The following is a 23,321-nucleotide window of genomic DNA, read 5'->3' on the forward strand; positions in this document are numbered from 1 at the left end:
CCCAATATGACAGAGGCATAGAGAATTTGCCCAGCTACATAGCTTAGTTCTAGTTACACTATATCTAACAGCTTTTCAGTCTGAGTTATACCTGGAGCTATAAAGGGAACTAGGGCCTAAAAATGTTTCCATCTGCTCAGGTGAAGAATTCTTCCTGATTAACCTATAACTGAATGGGCTACTTACTTGTCCGTAACTTATGTGAATAGTCTGCTCTACCACTAAAAGGATTTTGCCCTCTAGCTGCTAGTTATCTAGCTATCTAACTGAGGGAGGGCTGCCCCCTTCCAGGAGGTGGAAATAGAGAAGCCAAAATATACGTCTCTGTGGTAAAACACTGGAGTGAATTTTTACTTAGAAACATGCTACAGTCAGGTGTCAAATAGCCAAGGAATGCCAGCTAAATTTGCATCAAGAATTGATACTAAGCAAAAAGCAATTAAAATTAAGCTGGAGCCAGTTCTTTACCTTCCCAGACTTCAGGAGACAACTTAAAAGACCAGTTTTCGGGGGTGGAGCCAAGATGGCCAAATAGGAACAGCTCCAGTCTACAGCTCCCAGCATGAGTGACGCAGACGGTGGGAGATTTCCGCATTTCCAATGGAGGTACTGGGTTCATCTCACTGAGGAGTGTCAGAAAGTGGGTGAAGGACAGTGGGGCCAGTGCACCGAGCATGAGCCAAAGCAGGGTGAGGCATTGCCTCACCTGGGAAGTGCAAGGGGTCAGGGAATTCCCTTTCCTAGTCAAAGAAAGGGGTGACAGATGGCACCTGGAAAATCGGGTCACTCCCACCCTAATACTGCACTTTTCCAATGGTCTCAGCAAACGGCACACCAGGAGATTACATCCCACGCCTGGCTCTGAGGGTCCTACGCCCACAGAGCCTCACTCATTGCTAGCACAGCAGTTTGAGATCAAACTGCAAGGCAGCAGTGAGGATGGGGGAGGGGCCACTGACATAGCTCAGGCTTGAGTAGGTAAACAAAGTGGCCTGAAAGCTCCAACTGGGTGGAGCCCACAGCAGCTCAAGAAGGCCTGCCCGCCTCTATAGACTCAACCTCTGGGGGCAGGGCATAGCCAAACAAAAGGCAGCAGAAACCCCTGCAAACTTAAACGCCCCTGTCTGAGAGCTTTGAGGAAAGTAGTGGCTCTCCCAGCATGCAGCTGGAGATCTGAGAATGGACAGACTGCCTCCTCAAGTGGGTCTCTGACCCCCGAGTAGCCTAACTGGGAGGCACCCTCCATTAAGGGCAGACTGACACCTCACCCAGCCAGGTACTCCTCTGAGACAAAACTTCCAGAGGAACGATCAGGCAGCAACATTTGCTGTTCACCAATATCTGCTGTTCTGCAGCCTCTGCTGCTGATACCCAGGCAAAAAGAGTCTGGAGTGGACCATCGGCAAACTCCAACAGACCTACAGCTGAGGGTCTTGACTGTTAGAAGGAAAACAAACTAACAAAAAGGGCATCCACACCAAAACCCCATCTGTACAGCACCATCTTCAAAGACCAAAGGTAGATAAAACCACAAAGATGGGGAAAAAAGAGAGCAGAAAAACTGGAAACTAAAAATCAGAGGATCTCTCCTCCTCCAAAGGAACACAGCTCCTCACCAGCAATGGAACAAAGCTGGACAGAGAATGACTTTGATGAGTTGAGATAAGAAGGCTTCAGGTGATCAAACTTCTCTGATCTAAAGGAGAAAATTCGAACCCATGGCAACGAAGTTGAAAACCTTGAAAAAAAATTAGATGAATGGCTAACTAGAATAACCAATGCAGAGAATTCCTTAAGGGACCTGATGGAGCTGAAAACCATGGCACGAGAACTACGTGACAAATGCACAAGCCTCAGTAGCCAATTCGATCAACTGGAAGCAAGGTTATCAGTGATGGAAGATCAAATGAATGAAATGAAGCAAGAAGAGAAGTTTAGAGAACAAAGAATAAAAAGAAACAAACAAAGCCTCCAAGAAATATGGGACTATGTGAAAAGACCAAATCTACGTCTGATTGGTGTACCTGAAAGGAACAGGGAGAATGGAACCAAGTTGGAAAACACTCTGCAGGATATTATCCAGGAGAACTTCCCCAATCTAGCAAGGCAGGCCAACATTCAAATTGAGGAAATACAGAGAATGCCACAAAGATACTCTTCAAAAAGAGAAACTCCAAGACACATAATTGTCAGATTCACCAACGTTGAAATGAAGGAAAAAATGTTAAGGGCAGCCAGAGGGAAAGGTCGGGTTACCCACAAAGGGAAGCCCATCAGATTAATAGCGGATCTCTTGGCAGAAACTCTACAAGCCAGAAGACAGTGGGGTCCCATATTCAACATTCTTAAAGAAAAGAATTTTCAACCCAGAATTTCATATCCAGCCAAACTAAGCTTCATAAGTGAAGGAGAAATAAAATACTTTACAGACAACCAAATGCTGAGAGATTTTGTCACCACCAGGACTGCCCTAAAAGAGCTCCTGAAGGAAGCATTAAACATGGAAAGGAACGAGTATCAGCCGCTGCAAAATCATGCCAAATTGCAAGACCATCGAGGCTAGGAAGAAACTACATCAACTAATGAGCATAACAACCAGCTAACATCATAATGACAGGATCAAATTCACACATAACAGTATTAACCTTAAATGTCAATGGGCTAAATGCTCCAATTAAAAGACACAGACTGGCAAATTGGATAAAGAGTCAAGACCCATCAGTGTGCTGTATTCAGGAAACCCATCTCACATGCAGAGACACACATAGGCTCAAAATAAAGGGATGGAGGAAGATCTACCAAACAAATGGAAAACAAAAAAGGCAGGGGTTGCAATCCTAGTCTCCGATAAAACAGACTTTAAGCCTACAAAGATCAAAAGAGACAAAGAAGGCCACTACATAATGGTAAAGGGATCAATTCAACAAGAAGAGCTAACTATCCTAAATATATATACACCCAATACAGGAGCACCCAGTTTCATAAAGAAAGTCCTTAGAGACATACAAAGAGACTTAGACTCCCACACAATAATAAGGGCAGAATTTACCACTCCACTATCAACATTAGACAGATTAATGAGATAGAAAGTTAACAAGGATATCCAGGAACTGAACTCAGCTCTGCCCCAAGCAGACCTAATAGACATCTACAGAACTTTCCAGCCCAAATCAACAAAATATACATTCTTCTCAGCACCACTCCACACTTATTCCAAAATTGACCACATAGTTAGAAGTAAAGCACTCCTCAGCAAATATAAAACAACAGAAATTATAACAAACTGTCTCTCAGACCACAGTGAAATCAAACTAGGAGTCAGCATTAAGAAACTCACTCAAAACTGCTCAACTACATGGAAACTGAACAACCTGCTCCTGAATGACTACTGGGTACATAATAAAATGAAGGCAGAAACAAAGATGCTCTTTGAAACCAAGGAGAACAAAGACACAACATACCAGAATATCTGGGACACATTCAAAGCAGTGTGTAGAAGGAAATTTGTAGCACTAAATGCCCACAACAGAAAGCAGGAAAGATCTAAAATTGACACAGTACCATCACAATTAAAAGAACTAGAGAAGCAAGAGCAAACACATTCAAAAGCTAGTAGAAGGCAAGAAATAACTAAGATCAGAGCAGTACTGAAGGAAATAGAGACACAAAAAACCCTTCAAAAAATCAATGAATCCAGGAGCTGGTTTTGTGAAAAGATCAACAAAATTCATAGACCACTAGCAAAACTAATAAAGAAGAAAAGAGAGAAGAATCAAATAGACACAATAAAAAATGATAAAGAGGATATCACCACTGATCCCACAGAAATAAAAACTACCATCAGAGAATACTATAAACACCTCCACCCAAATAAACTAGAAAATCTAGAGGAAATGGATAAATTCCTTGACACATACACCCTCTCAAGACTAAAATAAGAAGAAGTAGAACCTCAGAATAGACCAATAACAGGTTCTGAAATTAGGGCAATAATAAATAGCTTACCAACCAAAAAAAGTCCAGGACCAGATGGATTCACAGCCGAATTCTACCACAGGTACAAGGATGAGCTGATACCATTCCTTCTGAAACTATTCCAATCAATGGAAAAAGAGGGAATTCTCCCAAACTCATTTTATGAGGCCAGCATCATCCTGATACCAAAGCCTGGCAGGGACACACACACAAAAAAAGAGAATTTTAGACCAATATCCCTGATGAACATCGATGCAAAAATCCTCAATAAAATACTGGCAAACTGAATCCAGCAGCACATCAAAAAGCTTATCCACCATGATCAAGTGGTCTTCATCCCTGGGATGCAAAGCTGGTTCAACATATGCAAATCAATAAATGTAATCCAGCACATAAAGAGAACCAAAGACAAAAACCACATGATTATCTCAATAGATCCAGAAAACGCCTTTGACAAAATTTAACAACCCTTCATGCTAAAAACTCTCAATAAATTAGGTATTGATGGGACGTATCTCAAAAGAACAAGAGCTATCTATGACAAACCCACAGCCAATATCATACTGAATGGAAAAAAACTGGAAACATTCCCTTTGAAAACTGGCACAAGACAGGGATGCCCTCTCTCACCACTCCTATTCAACATAGTGTTGGAAGTTCTGGCCAGGGCAATTAGGCAGGAGAAGGAAATAAAGGGTATTCAATTAGGAAAAGAGGAAGTCAAACTGTCCCTGTTTCCAGATGACATGATTGTATATTTAGAAAACCCCACTGTTTCAGCCCAAAATCTCCTTAAGCTAATAGGCAGCTTCAGGAAAGTCTCAGGATACAAAATCAACGTACAAAAACCACAAGCATTCTTATACATCAACAACAAACAGACAGCCAAATCATGAGTGAATTCCCCTTCACAATTGCTTCAAAGAGAATAAAATACCTAGGAATCCAACTTACAAGGGATGTGAAGGACCTCTTCAAGGAGAACTACAAACCACTCCTCAATGAAATAAAAGAGGATACAAACAAATGGACGAATATTTCATGCTCATGGGTAGGAAGAATCAATATCGTGAAAATGGCCATACTGCCCAAGTTAATTTATAGATTCAATGCCATCCCCATCAAGCTACCAATGACTTTCTTCACAGAATTGGGAAAAACTACTTTAAAGTTCATATGGAACCAAAAAATAGCCCACATTGCCAAGTCAATCCTAAACCATAAGAACAAAGCTGGAGGCATCATGCTACCTGACTTCAAACTATGCTACAGGCTACGTAACCAAAACAGCATGGTACTGGTACCAAAACAGAGATATAGACCAATAGAACAGAACAGAGCCCTCAGAAATAATGCTGCTTATCTACAACTATCTGATCTTTGACAAACCTGACAAAAACAAGAAATGGGGAAAGGATTCCCTATTTAGTAAATGTTGCTGGGAAAACTGGCTAGCCATAGGTAGAAAGCTGAAACTGGATCCCTTCCTTACACCTTATACGAAAATTAATTCAAGATGGATTAAAGACTTACATGTTAGACCTAAAACCATAAAAACCCTAGAAGAAAACCTAGGCAATACCATTCAGGACGTAGGCATGGGCAAGGACTTCATGTCTAAAACACCAAAAGCAATGGCAACAAAAGACAAAATTGACAAATGGGATCTAACTAAACTAAAGAGCTTCTGCACAGGAAAAGAAACTTCCATCAGAGTGAACTGGCAATCTACAGAATGGCAGACAATTTTTGCAATCTACTCACCTGACAAAGGGCTAATATCCACAATCTACAATGAACTCCAACAAATTTACAAGAAAAAAACAACCCCATCAAAAAGTGGGCGAAGGATATGAACAGATACTTCTCAAAAGAATACTTTTATACAGCCAAAAGACACATGAAAAAATGCTCATCATTACTGGCCATCAGAGAAATGCCAATCAAAACCACAATGAGATACCATCTCACACCAGTTAGAATGGCGATGATTAAAATGCCAGGAAACAACAGGTGCTGGAGAGGATGTGGAGAAATAGGAACACTTTTACACTGTTGGTGGGACTGGAAACTAGTTCAACCATTGTGGAAGTCAGTGTGGCGATTCCTCAGGGATCTAGAACTAGAAATACCATTTGACCCAGCCATCCCATTACTGGGTATATACCCAAAGGATTATAAATCATGCTACTATAAAGACACATGCACACATATGTTTATTGCGGCACTATTCACAATAGCAAAGACTTGGAACCAAACCAAATGTCCAACAATGATAGACTGGATTAAGATAATGTGGCACATATGCACCATGGAATACTATGCAGCAATAAAAAATGATGAGTTCATGTCCTTTGTAGGGACATGGATGATGCTGGAAACCATCATTCTCAGCAAACTATCACAAGGACAAAAAGCTAAATACCACATGTTGTCACTCATAGGTGGGAATTGAACAATGAGAACACATGGACACAGGAAAGGGAACATCACACACCGGGGCCTGTTGTGGGGTGGAGGGAGGGGGGAGGGATATCATTAGGAGATATACCTAATGTTAAATGACGAGTTAATGGGTGCAGCACACCAACATGGCACATGTATACATATGTAACTAACCTGCACATTGCGCACATGTACCCTAAAACTTAAAGTATGATTAAAAAAAAAAAAAAAGAAATATTCCAGACGGAGGCTGCTCCTTCAGCCTGGGTCATGAGATAAAGTCCACGAAGACACAGTTTACCTGCAGTGAACACAAATGTGAGTGAGCAAGAAATAAACTTTTTTGCTTTAAAGCAGAAAAAAAAAAAGACCAGTTATCTATAGCATTTTCAAAAGGGTTTTGTTAGTCAAATCGAAGAACTATAAGGTGATTTTTCCAAAATCTTATGAGACTCCAAAGAAATGTTCGAACTCTTGGGGTTTAGTGACATATGAAGCTCTAATATGTATTAATTTGTTGGGAGCCCATCACAATAATCTAGGGGGAGATAGTCTGTACCAAAATCATAACAATGGCCTGATCAAATTTGCATTTTTCAAATTTAGTTAAGGATTTGAATTGCCATGAGTGTGCTGAGCCTAGTCAGTCCCTTAGAATAAATAAAGGAAGATATTTCAGCAATTAAGTACATAAATTTCATAGTCAAACCGAAAAGTTTTCTTGTATTACACAGTGTAAGGTGTGGCACACTAAGCTGAGGTATATACCAGTTTTCTGATTTGTAAAATGGAAACAATAATAGTACTGATATTATATGACAGAGAAATGGTTTTGTACAACCTCAGGACTCAGTGCCCTGAGTCACAGCCACTCCAGCTACAGTTATGGCTGAAAGGGACCAAGGTACAGCTCAGCCCATTGCTTCAGAGCACGCAAGCCCCAAGCCTTGGTAACCACCATTTGGTGTTGTGCCTGCAGGTGCACAGAAGACAAGGGTTGAGCTTTGGGAGCCTCTGCCTAGATTTCAGAGGATGTATGGAAATGCTCAGATGTCCAGGCGGAAGTCTGCTGCAAGGGGAGAACCCTCATGGAGAACCTCTGCTAGGACAGTGTGGAAGGGAAATGTGGAGTTGGAGAGACTCCACAGGTAGGGCACTGCCTAGTGGAGCTGTGAGAAGAGGGCTGGAAAAGTAGATCCACTGACAGCTTTCACCATGCTCCTGGAAAAGCTGCAGGTACTCAACACCAGCCCATGAAAGCAGCCACAGGGGCTATACCCTGCAGAGCCATAGAAGCAGAGCTGCCCAAGGCTGTAAGAGCCCACTCCTTGCATCAACATACCCTGGATGTGAGACATGGAATCAAAGGAGATTTTGGAGCTTTAAGATTTAATGCCTGCCCAGCCAGGTTTCAGACTTGCAAGGGGCGTATGGCCCCTTTGTTTTGGCCAATTTTTCCCATTTGCAATGGGAACATTTACCCAATGCCTGTACCTTTATTGTATTTTGGAAGTAACTAACTTGTTTTTGATTTTGCATGCTCATAGGTGGAAGGAACTTGCCTTGTCTTAGATGAGACTTTGAACTTGAACTTTAGAGTTAATGCTGGAATTTGTTAAGATTTTGGGGAACGTTGAGAACCCATGATTGATTTTGAAATGTGAAAAAGACGTGAGATTTGGGAGTGGCTAGGGGCAGAATGACATGGTTTGGCTCTGTGTCCCCACCCAAAGCTCATCTCGAATTTTAATCCCCATGTATCAAGGAAAGAACCTGGTGGGATGTGATTAGATCATGGGTATGATTTCCCCCATGCTCTTCTTATGATAGTGAGTTCTCACGAGATCTAAGGATTTAAAATGGGCGCTTTTCCCTTCGTTCTCTCTCTCTCCTGCCACCTCGTAAGGATGCCTTGCTTCTTCTTTGCCTTCTGCCCTGATTGTAAGATTTATGAGGCCTTCCCAGCCACGTAGAACTGTGAGTCAAGCCTCTTTTGTTTATAAATTACCTGTATTAGTTTGTATCTTTATAGCTGTGTGAAAATGGACTAATATAAGTACCAATGTATTAAATTTGTTGTAGGGATATATATATATATATACATATATATATATATATATGTATATATATATATCCATATATATATGTATATATCCATATATATATATTAAATTTGTTGTAGATATATATATATATGATGCATATATAACTCAACATAGTTTCTGGCACATGGTAACCACCCAGTAAATGGTAATTAGTATTATTATCATTTAAATGACTATCTCTTTATTAGGTCACAAAATATGTAAGGCTTAAATGCACATGTAGAACATTATAGAGACCACATGTCATAAATCTATGTCGACAGTGCCTGTATCTGATTTAGGACACCCTCTTAAAAGTCCACAGATAACACTGTTAGCCCCAAAAGGACCCACTTTGTAAAGTTTGCAGTACTAAAAAGTTGGTTGAGCAAGTCAAAAGCAGTGATTATACTTCAGGCCTGGTAGAAATTACGGAGCAGGACTGCCGTGTTCTTTATTATGAAAATTAGAGGTGCCGAGGTAAAAGGAGTAGAATAATGAAAGAAATCATGGCATGGGCTGAATACAGGGAAACCCCAAAGGATTTTTTAATGGTCTATCTGAAGTCCTCAAGTTTTTTTCTAGCTTGAGATCTTCTGTAATCTGAGCTTTCTTTCCTGCATAACCAATTTATTCTTCCCTAGTGGTTCCTTCCCACCAGTACACAAACAAGAAAAAAAAATGAACCCTCTCAAGACCCAGCACACTTTCTGTTACTGCCCAAATTTTCTGCTCATTATCACAGGAAAATTTCTTCAAAGTATTGTCTAAAGTCACTGTCTCCTACTTTCTTACCTCTGTTTCTAAACTTAACCCACTCGAACTGGGCTTATGTTTCCAAAATTCTACTAAAATTACTCAAAATCACTAATGGCATCCATAGTACTAATGGGTAGAAACCTCTGGTCTTCTATATGGTTAATCTCTATTCTTTTTCCTGAAGTATTTTGTTCTCATCTTCTTGGCACCATGTTCACCTGGTCTTCTCCTAATTCCCTTGCATCTCCTTTTCATTTTTCTTTACTAGTTTCTCTTTCTTTGCTCCATGTCTAAATGTCGGTATGTCCTCAGGTATGGTCCCAGGATACTTCTCTTGTTTATTCACATTCTCTTCCCAGAAAACCTTATCCAATCCTTTGGCTTTATATAGACCAACTATATAAGGGTGAGTTGTATATTTTAACTATATTTCTAAATACAGACTGGTATATTCAACTACTTAATTGACCTCACCACTTGCACCTTCAATAGCCATCTCAAACTCAATGTTTCCAACACAGAACTCTTGTTCCCCCCACCAAACACACAAAACTTGCCCCTCCTCAAGTTTTACCCATGTCAGGAAATAAGGCAAAAAAGGAGTCATCCTTGATTCTTTACTTTTCATATGGGTTACATCTGATTCATAAGATTTTGCTATAAATTAATCCTTGAAGACATATCCCAAATCCAACTACTTCCCTCTATATCCACTGCTAACACTTTACAAAAATTATTTTTCTTACCTAGATTACCACAACAGCCTTCTCATATGTCTCCCTGCATATATTCTTGCCCCACTATTCTCCAAGAGCTGTCAGTCATTCTTTTAAAATATAACTTGGATCATTTAATTTTTTATTTAAAGATGTCCAATAGCTTAATACTATTCTCAGAATAACATTAAACATTTTAATACAATTAACTAGACCCTACATAATCTGTCCCTACCCATTTCATCTCATGTCACTCTCTCTTTATCACTATGCTTCCTCCATACTGGCCTCTCTGTCCCACTTACATGTGACACTCACTGTAGTTGTTCCCTCTGTCTGTAAAGGTACCTCCGCTAGATTTCACTTAGCTGAGTTTTCTTGTCATTTGGATCTCAGCTTAATGTCAACTAGGTACTCTATATCATATCATCTTGTTTTCTTTAACCTTAACGTTGATCATTAACATTTTTTCCTTGTTTATTATCAGTGTGCTCCCATAACAAACTAGAATTTACACTATGCAAGAATAAGGACGGTGTAAATCTTGTTCAACATTGTATTCCCTACCACTAGAACAGTGTCTAGCACTTAGTAACTGCCATAAAGGCATAATTTTGATATCTTTATTATTATATCTCCATGGCCTAGAATGGTGCCTGGCATATGTAAGTATACAATAACTATTTCTTTGGAAAATAAATACAAAGTAGGAATGCAATAAATATTTGTTGAATGGATTCCTATCTACCTAGGTTAAGTTCTCATTCAGACCAATTATTTGTCTAGGGAACAACAATGCACAAAGTACAAGCATTACAAATGTTCACAAGGTCCGAAGAGAAAGTAATCCACCGGACTTCATTCATTCTTTGCTTTTATTATTTGTCCTCTGCTGGTTAGAAACACAGGTTGTATTCTCTTTCTAGTAATGCTAGAAGCAAGCCTTGTCATTCAGCTATTACCAGCTAAGGTATACACAACATCTTCAACCCATTCCCAGACACTATCATTGACCATTTCAAAAGGATAAGTTTATGTTTTTCCTGGAAGTATTAAAAATTACAGAACGTGTCCAGTGGTAAAGAGAATACCACTGCCCATCAACATGCTTATAAATATACCAATTTTCCCTTCTGGGTAAAGATGAAGGAGTAAATACATTTACCTTCATCTCCTTCCAAAAATCCAGTTAAATAATAGAATGAGACATTTTTCATAAGACAGGAGATTTTGAGAGATTTATGTGGAGAATTTGACTCATCCATAAAGAAAGATGTTAGGTACTGACATTGAGTATTTCCTTTTTTTTTTCTTTTTTTTTCAGTTTACTTTTATTTTTATTTTTTTATTATACTTTAAGCTTTAGGGTACATGTGCACAACGTGCAGGTTTGTTACACATGTATACCTGTGCCATGTTGGTGTGCTGCACCCATTAACTCGTCATTTAGCATTAGGTATATCTCCTAATGATATCCCTCCCCCCTCCCCCCACTCCACAACAGGCCCTGGTGTGTGATGTTCCCCTTCCTGTGTCCATGTGTTCTCATTGTTCAATTCCCACCTATGAGTGACAACATGTGGTGTTTTGTTTTTTGTCCTTCGATAGTTTGCTGAGAATGATGGTTTCCAGCATCATCCATGTCCCTACAAAGGACATGAACTCATCGTTTTTTATGGCTACATAGTATTCCATGGTGTATATGTGCCACATTTTCTTAATCCAGTCTTTCATTGTTGGACTTTTGGGTTGGTTCTAAGTCTTTGCTATTGTGAATAGTGCCACAATAAACATATGTGTGCATGTGTCTTTATAGCAGCATGATTTATAATCCTTTGGGTATATACCCAGTAATGGGATGGCTGGGTCAAATGGTATTTCTAGTTCTAGATCCCTGAGGAATCCCCACACTGACTTCCACAAGGGTTGAACTAGTTTCCAGTCCCACCAACAGTGTAAAAGTGTTCCTGTTTCTCCACATCCTCTCCAGCACCTGTTGTTTCCTGACTTTTTAATGATCGCCATTCTAACCGATGTGAGATGGTATCTCATTGTGGTTTTGATTGGCATTTCTCTGATGGCCAGTAATGATGAGCATTTTTTCATGTGTCTTTTGGCTACATAAATGTCTTCTTTTGAGAAGTATCTGTTCATATCCTTTGCCCACTTTTTGATGGGGTTCTTTGTTTTTTCTTGTAAATTTGTTGGAGTTCATTGTAGATTGTGGATATTAGCCCTTTGTCAGATGAGTAGATTGCAAAAATTTTCTGCCATTCTGTTGGTTGCCTGTTCACTCTGTTGGTAGTTTCTTTTGCTGTGCAGAAGCTCTTTAGTTGAATTAGATCCGATTTGTCAATTTTGGCTTTTGTTGCCATTGCTTTTGGTGTTTTAGACATGAAGTCCTTGCCCGTGCCTATGTCCTCAATGGTATTGCCTAGGTTTTCTTCTAGGATTTTTATGGTTTTAGGTCTAACATGTAAGTCTTTAATCCATCTTGAATTAATTTTTGTATAAGGTGTAAGGAAGGGATCCGGTTTCAGCTTTCTACATATGGCTAGCCAGTTTTCCCAGCACCATTTATTAAATAGGAAATTCTTTCCCCATTTCTTGTTTTTGTCAGGTTTGTCAAAGATCAGATAGTTGTAGATATTTAGCCCATTTACATTTAAGGTTAACATTGTTATGTGTGAATTTGATCCTGTCATTATGATGTTAGCTGATTATTTTGCTCATTAGTTGAGGCAGTTTCTTCCTAGGCTTGATGGTCTTTACAATTTAGCATGTTTTTGCAGTGGCTGATACTGGTTGTTCCTTTCCGTGTTTAGTGCTTCCTTCAGGAGCTCTTTTAGGGCAGGCCTGTTGGTGGCAAAATCTCCCAGCATTTGCTTGTCTGTAAAGTATTTTATTTCTCCTTCACTTATGAAGCTTAGTTTGGCTGGATATGAAATTCTGGGTTGAAAATTCTTTTCTTTAAGAATGTTGAATATGGGACCCCACTCTCTTCTGGCTTGTAGAGTTTCTGCTGAGACATCAGCTGTTAGTCTGATGGGCTTCCCTTTGTGGGTAACCCGACCTTTCTCTCTGGCTGCCCTTAACATTTTTTCCTTCATTTCAACTTTGGTGAATCTGAAAATTATGTGTCTTGGAGTTGCTCTTCTCAAGGAGTATCTTTGTGGCATTCTCTGTCTTTCCTCAATTTGAATGTTGGCCTGCCTTGCAAGATTGGGGAAGTTCTCCTGGATAATATCCTGCAGAGTGTTTTCCAATTTGGTTCCATTCTCCCCATCACTTTCAGGTACACCAATCAGACGTAGATTTGGTCTTTTCACATAGTTCCATATTTCTTGGAGGCTTTGTTCATTTCTTCTTATTCTTTTTTCTCTAAACTTCTCTTCTTGCTTCATTTCATTGATTTGATCTTCCATCACTGATACCCTTTCTTCCAGTTGATCAAATTGGCTACTGAGGCTTGTGCATTTGTCTCATAGTTCTTGTGCCTTGGTTTTCAGCTCCATCAGGTCCTTTAAGGACTTCTCTGCATTGGTTATTCTAGTTAGCCATTCGTCTATTGTTTTTTGAAGGTTTTTAACTTCTCTGCCATGGGTTCAAACTTCCTCCTTTAGCTTGGAGGAGTTTGATCATCTGAAGCCTTCTTTTCTCAACTCATCAAAGTCATTCTCTGTCCAGCTTTGTTCTGTTGCTGGTGAGGAGCTGCATTCCTTTGGAGGGGGACAGGTGCTCTGATTTTTAGAGTTTCCAGTTTTTCTGCTCTGTTTTTTCCCCATCTTTGTGGTTTTATCTACCTTTGGTCTTTGATGATGGTGCTGTACAGATGGTGTTTTGGTGTGGATTTCTTGTTTGTTAGTTTTCCTTCTAACAGTCAGGACCCTTAGCTGCAGGTCTGTTGGAGTTTGCCAGAGGTCCACTCCAGACCCTGTTTGCCTGGCTATCAGCAGTGGAGGCTGTCGAGCAGCAGACATTGGTGAACAGCAAATGTTGTTGCCTGATCGTTCCTCTGGAGGTTTTGTCTCAGAGGAGTACCTGGCCCTGTGAGGTGTCAGTCTGCCCCTATTGGGGGATGCCTCCCAGTTAGGCTACTCAGGCTCAGGGACCCAGTTGAGGAGGCAATCTGTCCATTCTCAGATCTCAAGCTGCATGCTGGGAGAAACACTACTCTCTTCAAAGCTGTCAGACACTGACATTTAAGTCTGCAGAGGTTTCTGTTGCCTTTTGTTTGGCTATGCCCTGCCCCTAGAGGTGGAGTCTACAGAGGCAGTCAGGCCTCCTTGAGCTGCAGTGGACTCCACCCAGTTCAAGCTTCCAGTCCTCTGTTTACCTCCTCAAGCCTCGGCAATGACAGGTGCCCCTCCCCCAGCCTCGCTGCCATCTTGCAGTTTGATCTCAGACAGCTGTGCTAGTAATGAGTGAGGCTCCTTGGGAGTAGGACCCTCGAGCCATGCACGGGATATAATCTCCTGGTGTGCTGTTTGCTAAGACCATTGGAAAAGTGCAGTATTAGGGTGGGAGTGACCCTATTTTCTGGGTGCCATCTGTCACCTCTTTCTTTGACTAGGAAAGGGAATTCCCTGACCCCTTATGCTTCCTGGGTGAGGTAATGCCTCACCCTGCTTTGGCTCATGCTCAGTGCACTGCACCCACTGTCCTGCACCTGCTGTCGGACACTCCCCTGTGAGATGAACCCAGTACCTCAGTTGGAAATGCAGAAATCACCCATCTTCTGTGTCACTCATGCTGGGAGCTGTAGACTGGAGCTGTTTCTCTTTGGCCATCTTGGCTCCACCTCCAAGTGTCAGCATTGGGTATTTCTTAAGGAAAAGCTCAAGTTAGATTATTCTATGATGAAACCCACAGATTTCAAGCCTCAAAAAACTGCACAAAGAAAAAATCTTTCCACAGAAAGAATCTGTAAACTCAAAGATAGGTCATTTGAAGTTATCCAATAAGAAGAGGAATGAAAAAGAAAGAAGGAGGCCTATAGAAATGATGGGCACCATCAAGAGAACTAATTTTTAGATTATAGGAGTGATTGACAGAAAAGATAGGGAAAGAGGCAAAAGCTTATTGAAAGAAATAATGGCTAAAATCTTCCCAAATCTGAGAAGTGACATCCAGGTACATACATGAATCTGAAAGTGTATAAATAAGTGCAACCCAAAGAGGACTTTGTTGAGACACATTATTATCAAATTATAATAAAAGAAACATATTATTTTGTTTTGTTTTTGTCTTTCCATGTTTTAGCTTAGGTTCAGGGGGTTCATGTGCAGGTTTGTTGCATAGGTAAACTGCCTGTCATGGGGGTTTGGTGTACAGATTATTCTGTCATCCAGGTAATGGGCATAGTACCTGTTTGGTAATTTTTTGATCCTCACCCTCCTTCCACCCTCCATCCCTAAGTAGGTACTGGTGTCTATTGTTTCCTTTCTTGTGTCCCTGTGTACCCAATGGTTAGCTCCCAATGTCTCTCTCTTACAAGTAAGAACATGCAGTATTTGGTTTTTCATTCCTACATTAATTCACTTTGGATAATGACTTCCAGCTGCATTCATGTTGCTGCAAATGGCATTATTTCATTCTTTTTATGGTTGCATAATATTCTGTGGTGTAAATGTATCACGTTTTCTTTGTTGAGTCTACTATTAATGGGAATCCAGGTTGATTCCATGTCTTTCTTATTGTTAATAGTGCTGCAGTGAACATATGTGTGCATGTGTCTTTATGATAAAATGATTTATATTCTTTAGAGTACATAACCAGTAATGGGATTTCTGAGTCAAATGGTACTTCTAAATTATTTTAGAAATCACCAAACTGTTTTCCACAGTGGTTGGACTAATTTACATTCCAAGCAGCAGTGCATATGCATTCAAAGTGAATATTTTGAAAGGAGCAAGAGAAAAGACACTAGTCACATACAAGAAAATCCCTGTAAGACTACTAGAAAATTTCTCAGCAGAAACACTACAGATCAGGAGAGAGTAGAATAATATGTTAAAAGTGTTGAAAGAGAAAAGAAAAGCTTGCAAACCAATAATACATAACCTGTTAAATCTGCCTTACAAAATGAGGGAGATATAAAGACTTTCCCAGACAAACAAAACCTGAGGGAGTTCATCACCAGTAGAGCTGCCTTACATAATATGCTAAAAAGAGTTATTCAAGCTAAATTGAAACAACACCAACTAGTTATATAAAAACATATGATAGTATGAAACACACTGATAAAGATAAGTATACACTCAAATTCAGAATTCCCTATACCTAATGGTGGTGTGAAAATCACTATCAATGCTACTGCATAGGTTAAATGACAAAAGTATTAAAAATAATTTTATTTACAATAACTTGACAAAGGATGCATAATATGAAAAATGTAAACTCCTGATGTAACATTGTTACTGATGTTGTATGTTATGTTATTTATGATATCAATAACATAAAATGTGAAGGGAGACATAAAAGTATTGAGTTTTTGTATGTGATAAAAATTAAGCTGTTAAAATCCTAAGCAGGCAATCAAAAAGCAAAAAAAAATAAGTTAAGCTGTTATCAGCATAAAGTAGATTGTTACAACTATAAGATCCTTTATGTAAGCTTCATGGTAACCAATATTCATAAACCTATAGTGATACATAAAAGATAAATAAGTCAATGTATAGCAGCAAAATAAAAGGTATCAAATCACAAAGGAAGACAGCAAGAGAGGGGAAAAAACTATAAAACAACAAAATAGCAATAGTAAGTCCTTACCTATCAATAAGCACTTCAAATGTATATAAATTAAGTTCTCCAATATAAAGATTTATAGTGGCTTGAAAGATATTTAAAAGCAAAAAGCAGGACCCAACTCTATGCTGACTACAAGAGACTTGCTTCACTTGTAAGAATACAAATAGGCTGAAATTTAAGAGATGGAAAAGGATATGCTATGCAAATGGTAATCAAAGAGAGGAGAGATAGCTATACCTCCATCAGACTAAATAGACTTTAAGACAAAAATTGTCACAAGAGGCAAATATGCACCTAACATCAGAGCACTGAAATATATTAAGCAAATATTAATAGATCTGAAGGGGGAGCTGGACTGCAGTACAATAATAGTAGGAGGCTTCAATACTTCACTTTTAGCAATGAACAGATCTTCAAGAAAAAAAATCAATGAGGAAACAGTAAAATTGAACATTGTAGACCAAATACACCCAACATATAGAAAATATTCCATCCAACAACAACAGAAGACATATTATTTGCGGCACACACAGAACATTCTCAGGATTGATTATATGTTGGGACACAAAACAAGTCCTAACAAATCTAAAGAGACTGAAATTATATCAAGTATCCTTTATGACTAAAATGATATAAAACTAGAAATCGATGAGAAGCAAAAAAATCACAAAAATGTAAAAATTCAACATGTTCCTGAACAACCAATGAGTCAAATAAATCAAAAGTAGAATTAAAAAATATCCTGAGACAAACAAAAATAGAAACATACCAAATCAAAACTTATGGGATGTAGCATAAGCAGTTATAAGATGAAAGTTTATAGAAATACATGCTGACATTAAGAAAAATAAAGAACTCAAAAATAACTTACTCCTCAAAGAGCTAAAAAAAGAACAAACTAGGCCCAAACATAACAAAATGAAGAAAACAACAAAGATCAGAACAGAAGCAAGTTAAAATAATAACTAGAGAAACAATAGAAAAGATCAATAAACTAAGAGTTGATTTTTGGAAAACATAAAATTAGCAAACTTTAGCTACAGTAAAAAAAAGAGATAAGACTCAACATAAAATTAACAAACTTTAGCTAGAATTTAAAAAGAGATAAGACTCAAATAAATAAAATGAAAATGAAGAGGAGATATTATAATTGATACCACAAAAATAAAAAGAAACATTAGAGTCTAGTATGAATAATTATATGCCAATATATCAAAGAACCTAGAAGAAATGGATAAATTACTAGAAACAGACAATTCACCAAGACTGAATCATGAAGAATTAAATAATCTGAAAAAACAAATGACAGGTAAGATTAAAACAGTACTCAAAAATATCCCAACAAAGTAAACCCAAGACAAAATCACTTCACTGGTTAATTTTACCAAACATTTAAGGAATACCTAATACTAATATTGAGTTCTCTCAAACTCTCCCAAATAAAGTGAAGAGGTAGAAACACTTCCAAACTCATCTTACAAGGCCAATATTACCTCCATACCAAAAATAGAAAATAACACTATAAAAAATAGCAAGCCAATATCCCTGACAAACATAAACATAAAAGTCCTTAAAAAAAAAACATAGCAAATGACATTCAGCAGCATATTAAAAGGATTATAAAACATACTCAAGTAAGATTTGTTCCTGGGATTGAAAATGACTTGACAGATTCAAATTTATAAATGTGATACACCATATTAACAGAATAAGGATAAAAATTAGGCTGGGCACAGTGGCTGACACTTGTAATATCAGCATTTTTGGAGGCTGAGGTGGGTGGATTGCTTAAGTTCAGGGGTTCAAGACCACCATGGGCAACATGGTGAAACCTCATCTCTACTAAAAATACAAAAATTAGCCAGGCTTGGTGGCATGTATCTGTAGTTGAAACTACTTAGGAGGCTGAGATGGGAGAATTGCTTGAGCCCAGGAGGCAGAGGTTACAGAAAGCCAAGATCACACAGCTGCACTCCAACCTCAGCAACAGAGTGAGACTCCATCTCAAAAACAAACAAACAAAAAAAGAATAAGGGTAAAAGTCACATAATCATCTCAATAAATGCAGAAAAAAATGACAAAATAAGACATCCTTTCATAATAAAACAAAACTCAACAAAATAGGTATAGAAGCAATGTACCTCAGTAGATAAAGGCCATATATCAAAGCCCAAAGGTAAAATTATACTCAAAAATTTAAAACTGAAATAATTTCCTCTAAGATCAGGGGCAAGATAAAGAGGCCTACTCTGGTCACTTGTATTCAACACAATATTAAAAGTGCTGTCCAGCGCAATTAGTCAAGAAAAATAAATAAATGGCATCCAAAACTGACAGAAAGAAGTAAAGGTGTCTGTTTGCAGATGCTGTGATATTACATGTAGAAAGTGCAACAGACTCCACCAAACTCACTCAGTAAACTCAAAAACAGACCCACCAACTCAGTAAAGTTGTGGGATACAAAATTAACATACAAAAATAAGGTGTGTTCATATACACTAACAAGCATCCAAAAAAGAAATTAAGAAAATAATCTTATTTCCAAAAACATCCAAAATAATAAAATATTTAGAAATAAACCAAGGAAGTAAAAGACCTGTACAATGAAAACTATAATTGATAAAATTGAAGGCACAAATGAATAAAAAGATATCTCATGTTCATAGTTCAGAAAAATCAATAGTATCAAAAATCCATACTTCCCAAAGCACACTACAGATTCAATGCAATTCCTATCAAAATTCCAATGGCAATTATTACAGAAGCAGAAAAATCAGTCCTAAAATTTGTATGGAATTATGATCACTACCAAGTAGCTAAAGCAATCTTGAGCAAGAAGGAAAAAGGCTGGAGGCATCATAGTTCTGATTTCAAACTATATTACAAAGTTATAGTAATTGAAACAGTATGGTAGTGGTTAAAAGCACACATACAGATCAGTGAAACAGAATAAGAAGACCAGAAATAAATTGACTCATATGTGGTCAAATAATCTTTGAAAAAGATGCCAAAAATATAGAGTGGATAAAAGATAGTCTCTTCAATAAATTGTACTGAGAAAACTGAATATCCACTTGCAATAGAATAAAACTGGACATTTATCTTACTCTATACACAAAAATTAACTCAAACTGGATTAAAAGTTTAAACCTAAGACCTAAAACTGTAAAAACTCCTTGAAAAAAAATCATAGGGAAAAATCTCCTTGACATTGCTCTTAGAAATAATTTTTTAATATAACATCAGAAGCAAAACAAACAAAAGTAAAAATAGACAAGTGAAACTACATCAAACCAAAAAGTTTCTGCTCAACAAAAGAAACAACCAACAAAATGAAAAAGGCAACCTATGGAATGAAAGAAAATATTTGCAAGCCATATATACAGTAAGGAGTTAATATTCAAAATACGTCAGGAACTCAGGCAATTAAATAGCATAATAAATAAATAACCCAATTTTAAAATAAGCAAAAGACCCAAACAGGCATTTTTCCAAAATAGTCATAAATATGACCAACAGGTATAAGAAAAGATGCTCAGCATCATTAATCATCAGGGAATTGCAAATCAAAATCCACAATGAGATATCACCTCTTAACCTGTTAGAATGGCTGTTATCAAAAAAATGTCCAAGGATAACAGTTGGCAAGAATGTAGAGAAAAGGGGACCCTTATGCACTGTTGATGAGCGTGTAAAGAGGTACAGCCATTATGGAAAGCAGTACAGAGCTTCCCAAAAAAAATTATAAATAGAATTACCTTATAATCCAGGAATCCCACTTTCAGGTATACATTAAAAGGAAATAAGATCACTATCTTGGAGAGATGTCTGCACTCCCATGTTTATTGCAGGATTATTTATAATAACCAAGATGTGAAAGAACCTATGTGTCTGTCAACAGATAAACAGATAAAGAAAATGTGTTATATAAATACAATAGGATATTATTCAGCCTTTAAAAAGAATGAAATTCTGCTATTTGCAACAAAAAATTGAAACTGGAGACGTTTATGCTAAGTGAAATAAGCCAGATACAGAAACATACATACTGCATGGTCTCACTTACATGTGAAATCTAATGAAAATCAAATATATGAAAGCAGAGGGTAGGATGCTGGTTGTCAGCAGGTAGGAGTGAGGTTGGGTGATGAGGAGATGTTGCTTAAACGGTGCAAAGTTTCAGTTAGGATGAATAAGTTCAGGCGATCTTTATTACAGCATGGGGACTATAGTTAATAATAATGCGTTGTACACTTGATAATTGTTAAGAGAGTAGATCTTAAATGTTACTACAACAAAAAATAAAGATGTGAGGTGATAAAATGTTAATTAGTTTCATGTAGCAATTTCACAATGTATACATACATGAGAACATTACATTTTACACCATAAATATGTACAATTTTTATTTGTCAGCTATACTTTAAGTTTTAAAATGTAAAAATTAATGATTTTTAAAATGATAACTTATCGAGGTGATGGATAATTTAATTAGATTAATGTGATTATTTCATACAATATATGCATATTAAAAATTATTTCATACATCTTAAATATATAATATCCGTGTCACTCATACCTCAATACAGCTGGAAAAATATATGAATGAAAATAAATAAATGAAATGAAGATATATAAATACATTTTACAATGTGATGGACAAAATGGGGGGCATTATATAGTGCTGGCATTTTATGGCTTAGGCTATATTGATGCTATTATATTGTGCATGTTGAATAACTAATTAGCAAGTTTGGTTGAATAAATATGTATAATACAATACACTAAATGTCACTTTCTGACTAAGTATACAAGGTAGCTTTGAAGTAAATGTAATTGAAGAAATATTCTTTTTTGTACCCAGTAGGTGTATATATTTATGGGGTATATCAGATATTTTGATACAGATATACAAAGTGTTATAATCACATGAAGGTAAATGAGGTACTTATCATCTTAAGCATTTATTTTTTGTGTTACGAACAATCTAATTTCACTCTTTTATTTATTTTAAAATATACAGGAATAAAGAAGTGGACAGTGGCCCAGATGGCTGACTAGAAGAATCTTAGGCTTGTGGCTCTCACAGAGAGGAATGAAAAGGGAAAGTAAACACAGCTCCTTCAACAGAAACATCCAGGTACTTACATTGGTACTAATCAAGGACACAACTCGACCCATAGAGAACAGAGAAAGGCAAGGCGGAATGACAGCCCACCCAGGAGCGACATGGAGCCAAGGGAACCTCTCCCATCCCAGGAAGTGATGAGTGAATGTGCAATCTAGGAAACTACTCTTATCCCATGGATATTTGCAACCCTTGAGTCAGGAGGTTCCCTCGTGAACAAACATCTCCAGGACCTTCAGTCTGACACACAGAACTACATGGAGTATCAGCAGAGCATCTGCTCAGGCACACATGAAAACTCCAGAGCTTTAGATATTCTGGCCCTGGACTTCCAGGAAAAGGAACTGCAACACCAGCAAAGAGGGAAGTTAGACTTCTTTACACAACCCTAGGAAAGAGGCTGAATTCAAGGGGTTGAGTGCAGCAACGGTCTGTGGTACCCACTTCCATGGCACCTCACAAGATAAGACCCACTGGCTTGGAATTCCAGCCAGCCACCAGTAGCAGTGTTGCATCTTCCTGGTACAGAGCTCCCAGGGGAATGGGTGAGCCATTATCTTTATTGTTTGAGCAACTTATCCATTCCAGGCTGCAGGCTTTGGAGAGCCCAAGCTGAACAGGGGTGAAAAAGATCCCCCAGTACAGCACAACTACTCTAACAAAACGTGGCAAGACTGCTTCTTTAATTGGGTCCCCAATCTATGTCTCCTCACCAGGCAGGACCTTCCAACTGGGGCCTCAAGTTAACCCTGCCAGTGTTCTCCAGCTGACAGAGATTTCAAATTCCCTGGGACAGAGTTTCCAGAGGGAGGGGTGGGCCACCCTCTTTGCCATTTGGGTGACTTAGCAATTCCAACCTGCAGGCTTTGGAGAGCCAAAGACAATTGGGGCAGAAGTGATACCCCAGCACAGCACAGCTGCTCTATGAAAGTGTGGTCACACTGCTTCTTTAAGCAGGTCCCTGAACCAGCTCCTCCTCACTGGGCAGAACCTCCCAACCAGGGCCTCCAGCCACCCCTGCCGGTGTCATCTGGCCTACAGAAATTCAAAAACTCCCTGAGACAGAACTCCCAGTGGGAGGGGCAAGCTGCCATCTTTGGTGTTTGGGTGAGATAGCAGTTTCAGCCTTTGGGCTTTGGAGAGCCCAAATCAAACAGGCATGGAAGCAGTACCCCAGAACAGTACAGTGGCCCCATGAAAACATGGCCAGATTGCTTTTTAAGCAGATTCCTGACACCATTCCGCTTCACTGATTGGAGCCTCCAAATGAGGGTCTCTGACTACCTCCACTGGTGTTCTTCAGCTGACAGAGGTTTCAGGCCTCCCTGGGATGGAGCTCCCAAGAGGAGAGGCAGACCATCATCTTTGCTTTTGGTTGACTTAGCTGGCCCAGCCATTGGGCTTCAGAGTGTCCGTGGTGACCAGGGGCTAAAGAGGAACCCCAGCACAGCACAGCTGCTCTAT

The sequence above is a fragment of the Homo sapiens genome, chromosome X (genome assembly GCF_000001405.40).
Source record: "Homo sapiens chromosome X, GRCh38.p14 Primary Assembly".
NCBI lineage: Eukaryota > Metazoa > Chordata > Mammalia > Primates > Hominidae > Homo > Homo sapiens.